The following is a 19659-nucleotide window of genomic DNA, read 5'->3' as shown; positions in this document are numbered from 1 at the left end:
CCTGTTTCAACAGCAGGGTCTTTGTGACTTTTGTCTTGTGCCAACCTTCTATCTCATCCCTTGACTAAGAATGCCTAACCTCCTGGGAATGCAGCCCTGTAGGTCTCAGCCTTATTTTACTTAGTACCTATTCAAGATGTGGTCGCTCTGGTTCAAATGCTTCTGACAATAACAAAGTGAATCAGAAACCACACTGATATTTCAAGCACGTATAACAAACAAAATATACATGGTCGTAACTATAATTCAAAGTCAAAATATCATACAAAATCCATGTATAAAAATGTTATTGTAGTTTAAATAGGAAAGGTATTTCAGGTAGGGACATCCAGAAACTGAACATAAAAAATGAGATTTGAGTTAGAATTTAAGATGAATACATATGTTTAAAGTAGTTGTACATTTGAATGGGATGAATGGAGAGAAGACAGAAGTAAAGGTTAGAACTATCATTATAATGGAAAATAGAAATTTCAGCATATCTCCTTTAAGCAATTTTGAGTTGCTGAAAAACCTGCTTTCTGTAAGGCACAATTTTTCACGTTGCTGAAAAATCTTTGCTTTCTGTAAGGCACAATTTCTGATGCTTATGACATACTAAACTCGGGCTGCTGCACCACTTGATCCAATGTTTGTGCATTTCTGCCTCTACAAATTGGTTGTATGGTTAACTAAAATAATTTGCTTTTGTTTCTAAAACAATTTATACTAATATTTCCTGTTATTGTAAATATATAGCAATTGAAATCATATAGGCAAAGAAATATACCTGCAAAAAAAAGATTTTTCTCTTCTATAAATGCAAACTTAGTGCATGGAAAACACACAGCATAGATGAACTCCATGCAAATTATGGCATAATTATTGGTTGGAGGAGAGACAATTATAAAAGTGTGGAGGAACAAATTTGTAAATATAGAAGTATTATACACATAAATTGCTTCAAAAATGTTTCTAAGAACTTACTCTAATATTGCAAAAAATATGTGATTGATGCAGCTGGTAAATTCATACTTTAAAAAATGGCCTAAGCTTTCTATGAAACAATTGGCAAATGAATGTATATTTATGCATTTTTTTCTTGAATCAAAATTTTTAGAAATTATGTCATTTAAATCCACCTAATTTTAATTGATCAATCAAAGATGAAAAGTAAAAAACATTTCATAGTTGAGGTTTAATACAGTAAATGTCTGGATGATATAAGGACTTGAATTCCAGACTAAGAAGTTTTAACTTTATTTTGGGATGTTTGCAAGATATTGTATGATTTGAGGCAGAGAAGCAACATAACCAGATGTGTCCTTCTAAAATGACATCAACAAGCTGTCAGTCTTGCTCAAGATGAATTAAAATAGACTAGAAGAAAGAAGAATAGTGAAGATTTTTTTGATAAAATAAGACAAGTAATATAAAAAACTGCATTATTGACACTCAGAATGAGGACAGAAATGGATACTTTTAAGCTAGAACATAGGAATTAGCAATTGCTTAAATGTAGTGCCAAGGAGATGATAACCAAGATTTTAGGATTAAAATACTGTACAGATGAAAGTGACAATAAGAATAACAGGAAAGAAAGGAGAGAAATACATGAGGAATGAGCAGTAAGGAGGCACAGAAAGTCAAGTTTGACTTTGTGTCTGTCAAATGGAGAGTTTGAGTTACACATCCTATTCTCTCTTCTCAGTCAAGAGGATCTAGTCTCCTATGGACAGTAAATAACTAAACAGAATCTGGAGCTTGGTGGTTGGTATTTATTTGCAGAGAGGTGCTACATGAAGCCATAAGAGGAAAGATGTAATCATATACAGTTACAGCCAAGTGATCCCAACCTCACAGAAGTAAAGGAAGTTGAGAGTTCATGTAGGAGCAATTAGTTAAACACATGTGGGGAGAAAAGGGTCTATAACCTGTAACAACTAAGATGTTAACGGTGACCTTAGATAATTAGTTAAAAATAATCATCAGAGTCTTTGAGGAGCTAAGGAGCTAGTCTGTGGTCACAAACGGGAAGCAGTAAATGTGGAATTCTAAGAAATCTGCCTTGGAAATTATGAATAAAATAAAAATTAGAATTTGAAAAGGTGATTTTATTAATGGCAGAGGTCTTAGGAAAAATAATCCATTGAGGCAGATAAAATTACTATTGAAGAATCCATTTGAATTTTAACTTGAAAAAAACATTCTATTAGTAAATTACAAATAAACAAAATAGGCACTATAACATTAAGACAAACTTCTTTAGTATTGTGTGAACAAAGGTAGGTGTGCTGAAAAAGTGCTTTTCTAAAATAATGTAGAGAAATTGAACTGGTTATATACATAAATATCTGTATATGTATATTTAGGAGAAAGCATAATATTAAAAAATAGAGGAAAAAGTAACATATACTTCCACCAATATATGGGGTTTGGGAAGCTTGGTAGCCCAGAGAACATTTACAAATTGCCAAACATGCACTTCGCAGTTGGTACGGAGAATATAAATAAATTTAATTTTAAATAACACTTAAGAACGAGAGACCTAATTATAAAAAAGTTTTCTTTTTTAATTCTATTTCATTTTATCTGATTATATCAAGGAGAAAATCCCAGTTTGGTGTTCACATGTCTTTCGTTTCCTAACTTCTTTTTATATTAAAAGAGAATGGTCCCCCACCTCAGAGCATTTGTCAGGCAATATCTGTCAAGAGTTTAATCATTTGCTTTAATTGAATTCATTTTTATAGTTACCTTTTATATATAGCAAATTGTATTCATTTTCTAATTATTGTAGTGATATAAACACTCGTTGAAGATAAGTTCAAGTTAAACAAGTGTGGTAATCAAATATATACTCACTAAATAATAGTACAGATAGATATATGAAGTTATATCCTCACAGGATGTAACTTTTCCACAGTAGTGAAAATGGTACCAAAAGACAACTGCTTGGGAAACAGTGGCCTAAAAAAATGTTTTAATCTGGGAATTAGAAAATAAATGACCTGCCAATGGTTAATTTGTTGACTTTTGAGACAATTATAGAATAATTCAGAGCATTAGATTACTTATTAATAAGGAATACTCATTAGGAGTGTGAGGAGGTCACATGAACTAATTTATGGCAAATGAATTAAACAATCTTAAGTATTTGGTCTCCAAAATGCATTACTTATTGGTCAGCATTCCCACTTGTCATGAAAGTTGTGATTTGTTCAAGAAAAGTGTACTTTAGAATAGAATATTATTTATTGCCTTAACAACTTTATTCAGCACCTACTATGTAGCAAGCACTGTCATATCTCTTTGAGCAATATATGGATCTCTTTTCACATAGCTAACAGTCCTGTGTGGTTAAAAATGAACAGTCAGTTTAATTCAGGCATTAAAATCTATTCATCATATTACCAAGCTCAATCATTTCCTTTTCACTACTAGACAAGTTTAGAACTGCAAATAGAAATGATTTTTTTTTTTGGAGGTATGACAGATTCTCCACTTCCATTATGAAGGAATTATTCAACTCATCTATAATAACAACCTCATGTCCCAGGGAAATTCAAATTGAAGGCCTGAATGATACTCATTATAGTCTTCTAATTATTTGGTTTCCCAAAAACATAGCCAAGAAAATATGGGCCTTCCCTTTTAGCTATCATAATAAACAGTGATGTGAATAGTGCAATCTACCAATTAGAGGACCTACATAGAGCACATTTTTGATAGAAGAATTAAAGAGGAAGGGTAAGAGATTCAGGGCCAGCCAATAGTGGAACCTTGGCTTGCGAAGCAATGGAAGTATGTAGGAGGCAGGATAGGTTAGGTAGTGCCATAATAACAAACATCCCCAAATCCCAGTAGGTTAAAGATAAAGGATTATTTCTTGTTCACAATGCACGTCTGTCTTGTTATGAGCCTCTACTCCATGTGGTTTTCACTCTGGAATACTAGCTGATAAAAGCTCCATCGTTCAATAATAGCACTATCTCAACATAGCAATGTTTTGTTGAATAGAGCACTGAAGACTCAAGCACGGCAATTAAACACTCTGGCCCCACAATAACATAGGAAACTTCTGTTCCATTTCATGGCCTAGAAATAGTCTCAAGGCCACATATAATAGATATGTGGAGGTATATTATTTTTGACTTTATAGGGATAGAGAAAAATATATTTTGGTGAATAATAATATCTACTACACTATGTAATAATATTAATTTCCTCATGTCATCTTATGCCCATTTCAGAGTACCAAAAGCAAAAACAAAGAAAAAAGAAAAGAAAATCAAACGCAGACTTTATTTTAACTATGAATTATAACATAATACTTCCATATTCTTTCGTTTGGCTGTGTCAAATAGATTTCTTCAGCAGATGGGCATTTAAAAGAAGAAGAGGAAGAGGAAAAGAAGTAAGGAGTTTGAATTAGGTCTTAATACTTGAGGATGAACATTCACTATTCAATACTAAAATTAAAAAAAAAAAAAACTCTAGTCTTTTTCTCAAAGAAAATTTATTCAGATGAGCTTTGCTGGCCTGGCAGTATATTTGATTTATAAAGAAACTTGAATATAAATATAAGAATTATTAGCAAAGTGTGGTACATGCAATTAAAATGTATACAGAAAAAATACTGTCTCAGAGAAATTTTAATTGAAATTTTGTATTTACTCAATGCTTTAATTTGAAAGTTCAAAGTGTATTAGATGGAATGCAAAATACTACATTGGATTTACCTTATATAGAAGTAATCTATTGTTGCATGACAAACTATCTCAAAACATAGTGGCTTAAAGTAACAATTAGTTTAATTCTCATAATTCTGTAGGTTGGATTGACTTTTTTGCTGGTGTCGCCTTAACTTTCTCATGGAATTACATTCATCTGGAGGCTCATTTGAGGCTCATGTTCTACAGCGGCGTTGCTCACGTAATAGGTACCTCAGCTGGATTGTCCAGAAAGGCTGTCTCCCCACATATTCCTTCATCTCTGGCTTCTTCACCTGGTAGAAGCCACATTTCAAAGAATCAAGCCTCAATATATCAGCACTTTTCGAACTTCTGCTTGTTTCGTGTTTGTTGATGCCCTATGGGCCAAAGGAAGGCCAGAATCAGTGTTGGAAGGGCTACCTAATAGCTTAAATACTAGGAAGTATGGTTCTTTTGGAGTTAGTACTATAGCAATATGCTGCTGGCCACCTTCTGCGTCCATTGAGTCCTTTCTCTTCAGCATGCAAAACATTTTGACTTTCTGGTGAGACCCCATATATCTGATCCAAACATGTCACCAAGATTGATGTCTGAAGCCTTATAATTTGCTTTAGGTCCAGATGTGAATGAGGATCCCTATTGCAACCCTTCTTGATCAGGAGACTAGTGAACTACAAAAAGGTTTTACTAGGTACCACCTTAAATCTTACTTAGGTCTTACAAGAAGTTTTACAACCTTATTTTCCAATTAATCTTTATCCTGAAGCTATTTTTTTTATTAAAAAAATAGAAGGGTGGAAAGACTTAAAAAATGACAATTTTTTAAAAATTTAATTTAATTTAATTTAATTTAAATTTCTGGGATACATGTGCAGGGCCTGCAGGTTTGTTAAATGTGTATCATGGTGGTTTGCTGCACCTATCAACCCATCACCTGGGTATTAAGCCCCACATGCATTAGACATTTTTAAAATTACTAATTAAGTAGTACTTGGTTATTTTTTTTAGTTTCTCTACTTTCTACTTTCAATTGAATGCATTTTCTTTAAAGTCTTCTCTTTGCTTTTATACCTGCCCATTACATAGCTCACAAAAGGCAAATCACATTTTCAATGTTATTTGAAATCTCCATATCCATATATACAAATTCATTTGGCATATTTTCTATTATTCAAGTTACTGTATGTAATGGTCTTTTCAATTATTTTATAACCATCCTTTCTTTCAGTTTTCAATAGTAGTTTTCGTAGTTAACTTCCCTCTTCAACAAAGAATGTCCTTGCTGTGGGTTGAACTGTTCCCTCATATAATATCATGTCTACCACACTCTGCTGGTCTAAAGCAACTCATGAAGCCATACCAGTTTCAAATGTGGATGAACAAAATCTACCTTGATGAGAAAAAATGCAAAATACAGTTGGGTAAATAGACTACCTTGATGAGCGACATTGCAAAATAAAGTGGCTTTTTTTTCAATCTATGTTTTTGTATGATAATTATAATAATGCAAAAATATGTTTGAAAATCACTTGCTTATCATTAAAAAACATACAAATTTAGTTTATTTGTTAATGATACATAATAATACTTAGTGTTGTTTCAGACAAAAATAGGCATATTTTTATGCCAGAAGCTAAAGTTGGAAAATCTCATTACTAATGAGTTTATTGATTACCACCTGGTTTTATTAAATGAAGGAATTTTTTGGACAATGTGAATTTTTTGAGGATTGCCTTATGTCTTTAAATGTTATTTTCATTTCATGACTCAACATGGGCTTTTGTCAATAATTTTATAGAGATAATCATCAGAAAATATATCTGGTCTTTCTGGTTGTCACTTCAGATCCTAATGGCCATGTCTGGAGACAGATGGTCTTGCTTACTCCGCAGATAGACCTTTGTTAATTTTGATTACTCTGGAGCAATTCTGGGTGGGGCTATATAATAGTTGTTTTCCTTGTGTCCTTGAGAATCATCTTCAAATACCCTGATGCTTCAAACATTCTGGCTGAAAACATATATACAGTAGCCTCTCACTCTCAAACCGATAACTGGTGTCCACAGAAATATTATCTTCTCATATTCCTGATGGGGTTGGGTATCCCAGCCCTGGGATGCTGACTCTCTAGCCTCTGTAATTCTTTGATTATTATTTTAAAGTCATCATATATTTATTTCCATTTCTCTTTCAAAAGCCTTAGGGAAAAAGCCCACTCTGGCTCCTAAAGAATGGACTTGATACAAATGTATAGATGTCTTCCAACTTTTGCTTCCCATATTCTTGAAAATTGTCAGGCTGAGTGAAAGAAATAATAAATAGAGGAAACATTTTTTTAACGTAGAAATGACATTTTTACTCATAAATAATCACTTCTAAAATAAAACAATTAGCATTCATGTTAATGACTGTCTATGTTTATAGATAGAAAATTAAGTTTTTAAAAAGCATTTTAAAAGAAGCAGTGTAGAATCTGAGAGCAGAAGAGTTTGTTATATAGGAATTTTTACTTCTAGGCCTGTATGCCTGGCTTTGGCTAAGTTTATAGTGAATTGCCAAGTGCTGTAGAACGAAGAAAAGACAGTTCCCTAGCCCACTGGCACTGCTGAATGGAACATTCATAACAGAATTCTTGGACTTAAAGACCGTGGCTTATATTTTTTACTGAAAAGTACTTGGGATACGATAGAAGTTTGGATTGGTGGCAGAAGATGGGGTTTTAATCATGGCGTTCCACTTACGAGACATGTGGATATCAAATTCTAGTATGCCTGATGCCTCAGTTTCTTCATTTCTAAATTGATGCTAATAATACCTAACTTCTCTATCTGGTATGGGTAGAAAGTAAAATAACATGTGTTCAAGCACTCTCTGAATGTAAAGAATTGTAACTTACCATTTTTGATAAGATGTTTCTCATCATCATAATTATCTTGAATTCTTGTAAAGATAAAATTGTATTCACCAAAAGAAACCAGCAGGTTGTTTCTATGTGAAACTGTGCAGAAACCAGTGATAGGAATTTAGGCTTCAAAAATCAATTGCCTAAGTATAGGAGAGAAAAGTCATGCTGTGGCAATAGTTCACTGAAACAATGTTATGGGGCGTTAAGTTGATCTCAAACTTAATATGAGTACACAGTGTGAAGTGACTGCAAAACTCTGGCATGATTAGCAGGAAAAGAGTTTACACGCTGTAGGAAGTTGTTGTCTTATTCTTCTCTGCATTGATTAAACCACACACCCAGAATATTGAGTGCAATTATAGGCACAATGTTTTAAAGAATTAGAGGAAATCTGGAGTGATTCCAGGGTGACATTTGTGAAAGGCTTAGAAATCATATCACCTGAGAAAAAATTGAGTGAACTCAGAGAAGCTGGGAAAGAATGAATTAATTTATCCTGTGTTCTTCTGAGGACAAAGCTAGAACCAGTGGTAGAATTTATTAAAAAAAGAAAAAAAAGGCCGGGCGCGGTGGCTCACGCCTGTAATCCCAGCACTTTGGGAGGCCGAGGCGGGCGGATCACGAGGTCAGGAGATCGAGACCATCCCGGCTAAAACGGTGAAACCCCGTCTCTACTAAAAATACAAAAAATTAGCCGGGCGTAGTGGCGGGCGCCTGTAGTCCCAGCTACTTGGGAGGCTGAGGCAGGAGAATGGCGTGAACCCGGGAGGCGGAGCTTGCAGTGAGCCGAGATCCCGCCACTGCACTCCAGCCTGGGCGACAGAGCGAGACTCCGTCTCAAAAAAAAAAAAAAAAAAAAAAAAAAAAACAAAACATAGCTCAGGATAGAGAAAGCATTTATAAAATCCAGAGTTGCTTGAAATCAAGATATGATGACTCACTGACCAGGGAATTTACCCTCCTTGGAGGTGCTTCAAGAGAGGCTGCCTGACCTCTCTCACCACACTTGCATAGGATGGGAATTTCCAGTTGTGTTGGAGTTTTTATTGGATGATCTCAAGTTCTTCCAACAATTCAACATACATACTCAAGACTGCTAGGAAATATTTAGTATAGTGCTCACTTAGGCTGAATACGTACTAAAGTTGGAACAATACGGAGAAGACTAGCATGACCACCATACAAGGATGACACACAAATTTTTTAAGTGTCAGTATATATGTATATAAAATACAATAAAATTATAAAATAAATTGTTTAGTATAACAAAAGCATCATTTTCTGAAACCCATGAAATCCTGATTTCATGAGATGTTTCATTAAAAATACAGTCTACCTATAAGATACTTTGGGGATACTCTACCTGCTATAGTTCGTCTAGAGTATGATGATACACATTGTTAGATTGGAAAGTCTGAATTCTAACAATAAAGACACCTGAAAAATATGTTTGGCCCAATTTTTTCTTAACTTATTTGATCATGCCATATTTATATATATTTCTATCTATTTATTTTTACATATAATCTCTATTACTAACCTGTATGATGATTGGCACAAGAAATCATCTGGGCATATTAAAAGTTATGATTTTAAAAATAAGTGATCCAGATCTCTTCTAATTTATAATATATATATATTATCAGTTGAAAATGTCAAGGCTTTATTTTCAAATATGAGGCAGTTTTCAGAAGGCAACACAATTTGATCTAGCTTCCTAGGATGGCAGAGGAGTTATGACAAAACTGAGCACCTAACATAACAAGCCTTCCAGCATCATTCCAGCTATTAGTAATGAGTATCAAAAAACTTGAGGGTAGACTTGTTTCCCGACAGAACTATCTGAATCTGGCGGGTTCAATAAGTATGTTTTACCCTATTGTATTTTGAAGAGTTAAACTGTTACTTGACCAAAGGCTGAAATCCTAGATGTGTCTAGAGTTCAGCAGTATTTTCCTGATGTCTCAGCTAGCTATTTCTCTTCAACGTATATCCATTTGGTTCAAGGTTTTTTTATATATATTTTTGCTTTTGCATCTCTCCAGCTTCCCAGCAGTGTTTCCTAGGAGCAATGAGATGTTTATTATATGTACCACAAATTTGACGTTATTCTACATTTTTCTTTATTTATCCCAGCTTATGATCATGTCATTCCCCTACCATTTGTGTGGATTTTTCTAGATGAGATTTTTTTTTTGTACTGCTAATGATGACAACACCTCTGCATTTAGTCCTCAGGCAGACTCTCCTGGAATTTGTTGTTTAGAACTGGAAATTATTGATCTGCCTAGGCTTGATCTGTGCTTCCTTTATCCAAGCTGACAATATTTGCTCTATGATTCAGCTAACATCTCCTTTTCTCAGGGTCATCCCTTTTATTTTATCCTCTAGCATGTGGACAGTCCTCCTATGGCAATGTGTTCTAACCCCCTCCTGTGATCTGATCCTGACAGGGCCAGAGAAAATGTTCAGGTTAATGAAGAGCCTCATTATAAACACACATCCACTTGCTATTATGTTGACTCACATTAAATTCTCCACTTGATTATATTCTGGGTTGAATTATCTAACATTTAATGATGTACTAGGCATTGAATAGTATAGTAAATACTGCTGCCTAGTACATCTAGGAAGGGGAAGGCGTTGGAAATAATTTAAAAGAAGTATTACGAGGGAAAAGTACACAAAAATATATCGCAAATTTATCATAATGCCTGAGTAAAGTAGCTATTTTCAGAACTCAGAATTGGAATATAATGTCAAGTATGTATTGCTTATCAAGCCTACCCCAAATCAGTGTGAGAGAGTTTCACAATATATAAACGTTATAGCTTTGCTGAACTGTAAATACAATAAGATCAAAGACTGACTTTTTGACCGACCGATATATCCTACAATGTCATGGTTTTTGTAAGAAATAGATGGTACTCCAAAAAGTGATAATTGAAAAAAGTTTGAATAAAAAGGATCTTTATGAGGAAATCATGGTTAAAAGAAACCAACAGAGGATGGCAAAGCACTTTTAGGTTAGTTTATTAGTCTGTTTTTACACTACTATAAAGAATTACCTGAGACTGGGTAATTTATAAAGAAAAAAAGCTTTAATTGACTCATAGTTCCACAGGCTTAACAGGAAGAGTGACTGGGAGGCCTCAGGAAACTTACAATCATCACAGAGGGCAAAGGGGAAGCAAGCACATCTTACCAGGGCAGAGTAGGATAAAGAGAGAGCAAAGGGGGAAGTGCCACACACACTTATACCATCAGATTTCATGATAACTCACTCACTGTCAATAGGGCAGCATGGGAGAAATCTGCCCCCATGATCCAATCACCTTCCACCAGGTCCCTCCTCCAACATTGGTAATTACAATTCAACATGAGATTTGGATAGGGACACAGAACCATATCACTTAGCAAGAGAAGGAAGACTTTATTATCCTTAGATCTGAAAGGGGAAAGGCAATGAGTGGCTACAAGAACTCATTGAGAGCTGTAGCTTCAGAAAAGACTAGGTAGCCTGTTAGAAGCTGCCTTCATGAAGTAATATAGCCACTGTCAAACAGTAGCCCAACAGTGAGGAGCACAAGAAATAAGCACCTAGCTCACTTTCTCCCCAACCTCCAATCCTCCATTAGTGCCTCCACTGGCCAAGTTCAACTAGAATATAGGGAGCAATGAAATCCATATAAATCCATATATAATGATCTGCCATCTGAAGCATAGAATGGGATGGAGAATGGTAGAGAGTGAATGTGAAAGAACAAACAAAAAAGTACCCTGCACAATGACAAATACTGAATACTATGCCTGGAACTCAATAGATATTTGTTGGATGGACAGATGGTTTTTTGGCAGGTTGGATGAATGAAAAGAAAATTTGAATTTACTTATTTCATTTATAGTAAAAATTTGTGAGTTTTTTTCTGGCTGCTCAGCCTCTGGACTCCTTTGCTTGAGGAATTTGTCATTTTCTGAGTTTTAGTATATGGTAGGCCTCTTCCTTCAATTGTGAAAAATTTTAAGGCCAGATCTCTGCTAGAAGTTGTCTATTATAAGGTAGCTAGGCAGATATGGTGATTTGGACTGAGACGAAATCAGAATGGAAAATTTTAGCATTGATTCTAGTTTTGACAACAGTTTTTTCTCCTTTAAAACTCCCAGAAAGAATGCTACTACTCTCTTTTTGAAGGTAAAAGTTTCTGTGTAATCCTACACTAGTCATTTTTTTAATAGCAAAAACTGAAAGTTCAGCGTTGCAAAATTGAAACTAATGTCCTCAGCTCATCTATACATAAATCATTATTTATTTCAATAGTTTGGATCTGTGAAGCATAAATGTATCTAGCCTAAGTGAAACCAGGTCAACTTTTCAAGAGAGAGCAAACATGAAAGCCATCACAGGAAACACATATTTCATAATCCTGAAAGTCATGAGACTGCCTGGTAGCAAACATAAGGTTTTAGTTCATTACTCTTCTAACTTTCATTGGCAAGGTCCCTTAACCTTGAACTTATAATTCTAGATAGTGGCCAAATCTCTTCAAACTTTGGAAAGAGCCATTAGTGGCATGACGTTTGAGGGATTCTCCAACAGGTTATAAAACAGAACAGCAAAAATGTTCTGCCACCTAAGTGGTTTAGGCAAATTGACTTACCTAATGGGATTACCTTTGCATTAACTTAAATTATTCCAATGTCTTGCTCAAGTACAGCAAGCTCTCCTTTGTGTTTTCTTCCAGAAATAATTTAATCTACCACAGAGTGACTTCTCCACTCACTAGCTGTGTGACCTTAGGGAAGTTTCTCAATCTCTTTGCATCCCCTTTTTTCTCTCTGAAAAACTGAGATGATTGCAGTAGCTATCTCACATACTGGAAAATGAAAATTAAAATAATTTAAAATATGCTATGTACTTAAAACAGTGCCTGAACATATAAAGATTGTTTGGAAAATGTTAGCTGAAGAGATATATGAACATCGTCAGCAAACGGCAATGAAAAAGTACAGTGAAACAATACAGAAAATCAAGAGGGAAGGCAAAGAAAGCCATGGATGATAATGAATTGTTAAAGCATGGTACCCTTTACACTTCTCTTGAGTTAATCACCTATAGTATTGTTTACAAAAATTTGCAATGTCTTTTAAATTTAACAAATAAAAAGAAATAAGCAGAGAAAAAAAACACAGGAGGAGCACAACTATTTTTTGAAAAAAAAAGATAAGAAAAGGATTTATTTTGGAAGGCTTCATAAATAGGACACTCTATGATGTAATGAAAAATGCCCTTGATGGTGATCCTTATAATGAGTGATAAGTTCCACAGGGCTATTTATTGTCTAACAACACTCAAACTAGGTCAATGGCATCACAATGAAAGTTGCTTTACTAAAAAGACAACCTCTTGCCATAACAAAAGGAAGAGGTTCTGCATGTGGAAGACATAGAAGAATTGGAGGTGGGGAGACTGATTTGTCTTTTCAGAGAAGAGAGAGAAGCTACTCAATGACTGGTGGAAATGGAATTTACCAATTGAGAAACGAATGAATTGACTATCGTAATGGGAAATTTAGGGTTGATAGAGATACATTAAATGTGACTAGTGGAGAAAGGAATGGACAGTGACCAAACCTAAGTAAAAGATAATTTTGTTCTAAGCTTTTGGCTTGTGTAAGAAAAGAGCAAGACAGAAATTCTGCTTTGCTGTCTTTGATTCTAGCTCCCACCTTCCTGCTTTCAACTTCAGGCTGAGGGGCTTTTTAATGCTTAGAGTTCAATCTGCAGTATGTTGGATGTCTGACAACTTTTGGGGGCTGTGAAAGCTGTCAAAATAAATTGTCCTCATAATGTAAGAGGGAAGCCAAGCTCCACATCTTTCTGGATGCAGCGAATGTGCATAATCAGCTAGAAAAACAGCATTGTGCTTCAGCAGCCTACTGGATATATTGGTCAAGGGTGAATTTCCAAGGACATCCCTTTGGAATTTCTATACAATTCTTTAGGTTTTGAGAATAAGTCAGTTTCATTTTCCTGGGGCAATGCATTTGTAATGTATACATTGACACATGATAAAGGAATGACCATTGAAGGGGTAGTAATTTTTAGAATTATTACCTAAACTTTCTTCCTTATCTTAGGTCAGTCACCTTTAACATTTAAATGTTCACCTTTACCACAGAAGAGTTTAGCTGTTATCAATATCTTTCACTATTTAAATAGGTTTTATGGTGCATGGAATATTTAAATCTCCATTTTAGTTTTAAATTCTTGCACTCTGCTCATAAGTGTAAAATAAGCTAATGCGAATTTTGCTTGAAATACTAATTAATAATGAAATTTCTTCTCATTTTTGAAATGGTCCTATTGCACCATTTTGTTCATTTTTTCAATTATAATATTGGAGGGTAGGGGCAAAAGACCAGGTTTATGCTTTTTACTGATTTAATAATGTCACAACACGATATCCTACAACCTGAGAATGACTTAGACTTTTTATTCTATCAAATATTTTCCTTAGAAAATGCAATATCCCATTAAATGAAGTGTAAAAATAATGATGACATCAATGCTTAATTCCACCACTCTTACAAAACAATGCTCTTTTCCACATGCACTTTTTACATACATACATAAATAAAATTGCATAGTTGCTATCATAGTTTACAGAATGACATTTGTATTAAGCTATTTTCACGTAATATTATATCATAAAATTAGTTAGCCATTATCACTGATATTTGAAAGCTTGTCTAGTATTTTGTTATGTTGATACTTAATATTTTGTTATGTTTTTTAAAATTTGTATCAGTAAACCACTCTAAAAGTGGATTTGGCAAGTGGCTACAAACAGAGCAATTTATTTAGTTCTCAGTGCTGCAGTCAGCAATTTGAGCTGAGCTCAGCTGGGTAGTTCTGTTCTCAGCAGGGCTCTTTCACCTGTCAGCAGTCAACTGCAGGTAGGGTAGATGACTTTGCTTTGGGGAGTTGGCTTGTTTTCAGCTAAAGTAACGGGAGTCCCTGGGCCGCAAGTTTTTCATTCTCCAGCAGGCTAACACTGGGCTGCCAGTGTTCCAGTGTTCCTAGTACAAACTGTTAGACATTCTACTGGCCAAAGCAAAGCCTGATGCCAGTCCAGGTTCAAGAAGTGTGGAAGTACGTTTCATTTCTTGATGTGAGAGCTGCAGTCACATTGCAAAGGGCATGGCCTATGGTGAGGTGGTGAGGGTGTGTGGGATAAAAATTTATGCACACTTTACAATATTAAATATTTCTGTTGCAATTAACATTGCAGTGAACTTTATTGTACTTATAGCTTTTGTTAATTTCTGCTGAATAATGTCAATAACTTAATCAAAATTATCAGGATAAATTCCTGGGGGTAGAGTTAGTAAATGATACATTAAAATATCATCAGGATAGCATCAAATTAATGGAGGGTTTTAAGAGTCATTTTCATTGGTTTTAGCAACTCACTTTGTCTAACATCTCAGTCCTTCCACTCCCTTCCCATTTTACTCTTTCTCCAAAATGACCGTAGTAAATACTATTGTTTTGGAAACTTAGTAAATCCTCAATAATATTGGTTATTATTATTACTGTTACTGTATTTTGCTCTTTCCACCAGCCTTCCTGCAACAATACTACCTTCAATTGCTCTTTCTCTGTTCTAGGATCAGCCAATCATCACAGATCATTCATTTAAAATAGACTAATACATTGTTATTTGATTAAATATAGATATAAACTTCAGCTGTTTACTATGTAATTGGGCTTTGTTAAATGCTATATATATATTAACTAAATTCTCCTGCAACCTATGAGCTAGGTATTTTATGATTCAATTTTATAGCTGAAAAACCTGAGGCTTCATAGCTTATCCAAAGTCACATAGGATGCATATGGTGGAGCTGGGACTTGGATTATGTTTCTTTGAAACCAAAGCTTGTAGTCTTAAATGCTCTGTGCTGGTTTTTACTCTTGATGATACATATTCATATACATATCCATTTATATTTAACACAGTGACTAGAAGCAGAGTACATGCTAAATAAATGGTAGCTTAAAGACATGAAAAGTAATACAGGTTAATTAATACTGTCACATATTTGAACATTGCTGGGCTAGCTCTCATGGTGGAAAGGGGAAGGCTAGAAGAGTCACAGAGGAGCTGGACTCACCTTTGGAACAGGATAATCATAAAAGGGGTCAGACCAAACTTCTAAGAACCAAAAACCTTGCTAGCTAGGAGGCAGGCAAATAGCATCAGTAATGCCTTGGATAAAATGAAACAAGGCTGCAATAATGAGATTGTGATTCAGGAACATAGCTCTGGTTACCAGTTGCGGGAGACTGACAAGGACAATGTTAGTGCACAATCCGGGGAGATCCTGATTACCTTTAGAGAACTTAGAAATGAGCGTCAAAGTGGATCTCAGCTATTGGGCCTAAAACATTGAGGTATTTCATGAATTAGAGGCAGAATATTAATATAAATTTTATTGAAATCTGAAACTCACAAGTGTTTAAACTGGGTACACTATTATTTTTTCCCATCGCAAATGAACACAATTAAAACCTCAGGTTTTTAAGGCTTATTTATATTGCCTTCCTTCTTCAATGTGTGTTTTAGCAGAAAAGAATGAATAGCAAAAATAATTTTTGACAGTATTTTTGTTTTGGTTGACTCCATTTTACTGCTAAATAAGGAGCAAAATCACTAGAATGTCTATGGGCTAAAAAAAAAAGAAAAAAAAAGATGGGGGGATATAGGGAACAGTGATCTAGTCAGTGAAATTAATTAAGAGTTGACTGTAGTAATAGCTACTTAGCAAGTCATTTGTTCTTTTCTTAAAATTCAAATTTTATGACTAAACCTCAAGAATTTGTTAATTAACATATCAAAAGAAGGTCCTGCTTTTCCTTTAGCTCTGAAAGTTTTAGTAATGTAGTTACAGTTTGTTCTTTAAGTCTTTCTGAAAAAGTTACTTAGCTTTAGAGAAATAAGATTTAAAACATTTTTAATGTTTATAACTTTTTATTATAAAAATTTTCAAGCATATATCAGAGAGAAAATACTATAATAAACTCCTATAAACATGTAACCTGCCTTCAACAGTTATGAAAAAATGGCCAGTCCTGTTTTATCCCGGCCCTCATCTACTCCTCCTCCACTGTGTTATTCTTAAAGCAAATTCCAGGCATAATTTCATCCACAAATACTTCTCTAAAATTACTTTTGAACTTTTGAAAAACTTATTTACTAAGCTATTACAACTTTTTATATCATTTCTGATTCAGTGGAATTATAGATTACCTTGAATCATTTACTACTTTCTTTGATTTTCAGTTACGTAGCTGAACTAAGTTTTAAATGTATGAGCTTGTTCAATACTCCTTAGTCATGTGCTATAGTACTGTATTATATCCTTGTCATAAACTATGCAAAAACATTCTTATTGAATCAGCTTCAGTGAATTAATATTGTTTGATTGTACTTATTTTTAAAATTTAGAGATGTGTAAAAAAGGGAGATTATGAGGATGAAATGTTTACTGATTTTTTGGGGGAAAGTGCTATTAAATTTTACTTAAATTGCTATTTGTTTCTAAAAATTTTTAACCCAAATGATAATGTCTTTTGAGATTGAGCAGGTATACACTTGAACCAACTGAAGTCTTCAGGACATCCTTTGAAACAAATCTTAGATTAGTTATATATCAAGTAAGGTAGCTATATACTAATAGGCTGGCATATACATAAGAGGGAAGGTTTTGTTCTCTTTCCAGGGAATTCTTGTTTGCTTCATAGCATCAGCTGTCTGGAATTCTAGAATTTACTTGTTTTTGTTGTTGTTGTAGTAAATAAATAATAAATAACAGATTTTTAAAAAAAGATTTAAAGCCATTGAAAATTTTCTTGGAAATAGTTGATTTTATAGTATTCCAGTGCTGTCACAATGTAATACTGAAAACTGAAAGTTTTCATTTCGTTCATTACAATTTTTTGATCCTCAAATATAAGGTCCTATATTGATAAATAATTGTTATATTTTCGAGAGTTCAGAAAAGACATATATACATTAGCAGTTTGTGAAGCTATTTTTATACTGATAAACTTTAATAACAGTTTGATTGCCTTAATAGAAAATGGGCTCTTTTAAACACTGATTATATTTAGATTCATCTAATGTTTAAATATTGTGTTCTCATGGTGCTTCTAATATTTATGTATTTTGGAGATATTGCATGTACCTTCTATTCTGTTAAAGAGATTGTTTTCTGCCACTTTATGTGTTTCCAACAGATAATCATGAAAGGATGTATGCAGAAATGTTAAAAAAAAAACTCATGAAACAATAAGGTATAAATCTTAGTGCAATGGTCAGAATCCAGCATGGGACAGATGATTAAAGGGAGAGTAGTCTCAAGAAAACTTGGTGCTGATTTCAGTGGGCCAAAGGCTTGGGGAAGAGGCTCAGATTGCTTGGTAGAGAAGAAGCGTACAGCCAAGGTATCCCAGTCTGCTGGACAAGATTTTATTATATCTTCTTCACCCTCTAGCAACTAATCATTTCATCTTTAAACCTCCAACACATTTTAAAACATGCAGAAAATTTTATTTTTTGTGAATTGCTGAGTGACTTTCAGAAATTTGGTCTCTGCCTGTGGTATAGTTTAGACAAAGCCATTATCCCTCCAAACTGTGTGGTAATGACAGAACACATGCTGCTTAATGTAAACTCACAGCCCGGTGCTGGGCAGACATGATTAAGCTGTCATCTTCCCCAACAGCATCAGCAGGAGAAAAATAAAGAAGTAAAATCATCTTATTCATATTTATTAGGGGGCTTTGCAGTGGGTCTGTGCCCTCATGCAATTGACATTTTTGCTCATGTTTATGGCTGATGAGCGGTGGATCAATTTAAGTTAATCCTTTGCTAGCCTAGAAAAAAAAATACTGACTTATAAAGTGGCATCACCTCCATGTCTCCTTCCTCTCTATGTCTTAGCAAATATGTACATTCATTTATTCTGAAAGTTTAGCATGGTTAGATATTGTTTGCAAAATTTAAAATATCATAATATGTCTCAACCTATACACAAATAAAGACTTCAGAAAATGTACTTGTTTAGTTTTTAATTCTGTGTTTGTATCCTTTAACCCAATATACGCTAATTCCTGCATGCACAGTCATACACACAAATTAATAAATGTACACGTGCACACACACACACCTACTCATATATGTTTTTTGTTGTTTTCATCATTTGTTTTTCTACCACATTAGTGAAAATCAGAGCATTCAATGAGGAAAATCATGATCTTGAGTATAATGAATGTGCTCTGACTCTCTTTTTACTCAGATTTGAAAAATAAATCTGTACCTATGCATTAATTCTTAGGTATAATCCTTGAATAAAATGCTTTTCCAACATGTACATGTGAAGGTGTGCAAAAGTCAGAAAGGAGAGTACATGATTGAAATTATAAAATGACAGTGGGGTACCTATCAGTTCCAAGAAAAACAGAAGTGCATTTGTTTATAAAATTTTAAAGGAACAAGAAGAGGGCTTATTCTATGCCCATTGCCTTGATTCAAAGCCACTACTTCAACTCCCCTGATTCAATTTGGAATATAGTAAGATTGACAGAGAAAGAGATTAAAGATCTGTAACCTTCCTGCAAACAACCCCATGCTGCCTTGCCCACCTAATAGACAGCATCTAAGACAGGGGAAGAACACAGTCTCCTAGTTCATTGAATTCTGAGCTTTCCTATCTTGGGCTGTCAAGGAGATGCCAATTTCTGCCGAAGTGTCTGCTCTCCAGGAGATGCTGAGATTAGAAACTGGCCAGAAAGGTTTTACTTGTTTTTGTCATTGAGCAATCAGTGTCAGGATGTGAGGAACTTACCTCATTGGATGTAGGGGTGACATCTTGATACATTAGCTTGCTGAAGAGTTGGCAGGACCATGACAGCTTCTGGCTGTTGGCATCCTGGATTCATTTACTTCCCAAACTGTTAATGTAGCAAATTAACCTTGTCTGATGAACTTCTGCT

General features: G+C 34.4%; 1 protein-coding gene and 1 pseudogene across 17 annotated transcripts in view, besides 1 other annotated feature; both read left to right on the top strand.

Annotated features, from left to right (window-relative positions):
• The window catches only part of LRRC4C (leucine rich repeat containing 4C), a 1345454-nt gene that overhangs the window by 327924 nt on the left and 997871 nt on the right, over nt 1-19659 (top strand). The window lies entirely within an intron of this gene.
• RNU6-365P (RNA, U6 small nuclear 365, pseudogene) lies at nt 8717-8822 on the top strand (annotated as a pseudogene).
• Nucleotides 14248-14789: an enhancer, noted in NCBI's record as "OCT4-NANOG hESC enhancer chr11:41138490-41139031 (GRCh37/hg19 assembly coordinates)". NCBI's record gives its function as "activates a minimal SCP1, AML or CMV promoter by ChIP-STARR-seq in naive H9 embryonic stem cells {active_cell/tissue: H9 hESC(naive)}" and the evidence as "EXISTENCE:reporter gene assay evidence [ECO:0000049][PMID:30033119]".

Source organism: Homo sapiens, chromosome 11, assembly GCF_000001405.40.
Source record: "Homo sapiens chromosome 11, GRCh38.p14 Primary Assembly".
Taxonomy (NCBI): Eukaryota; Metazoa; Chordata; class Mammalia; order Primates; family Hominidae; genus Homo; species Homo sapiens.
Note: the sequence above shows the minus strand (reverse complement) of the source record. Positions and strands in the feature narration are given on the sequence as shown.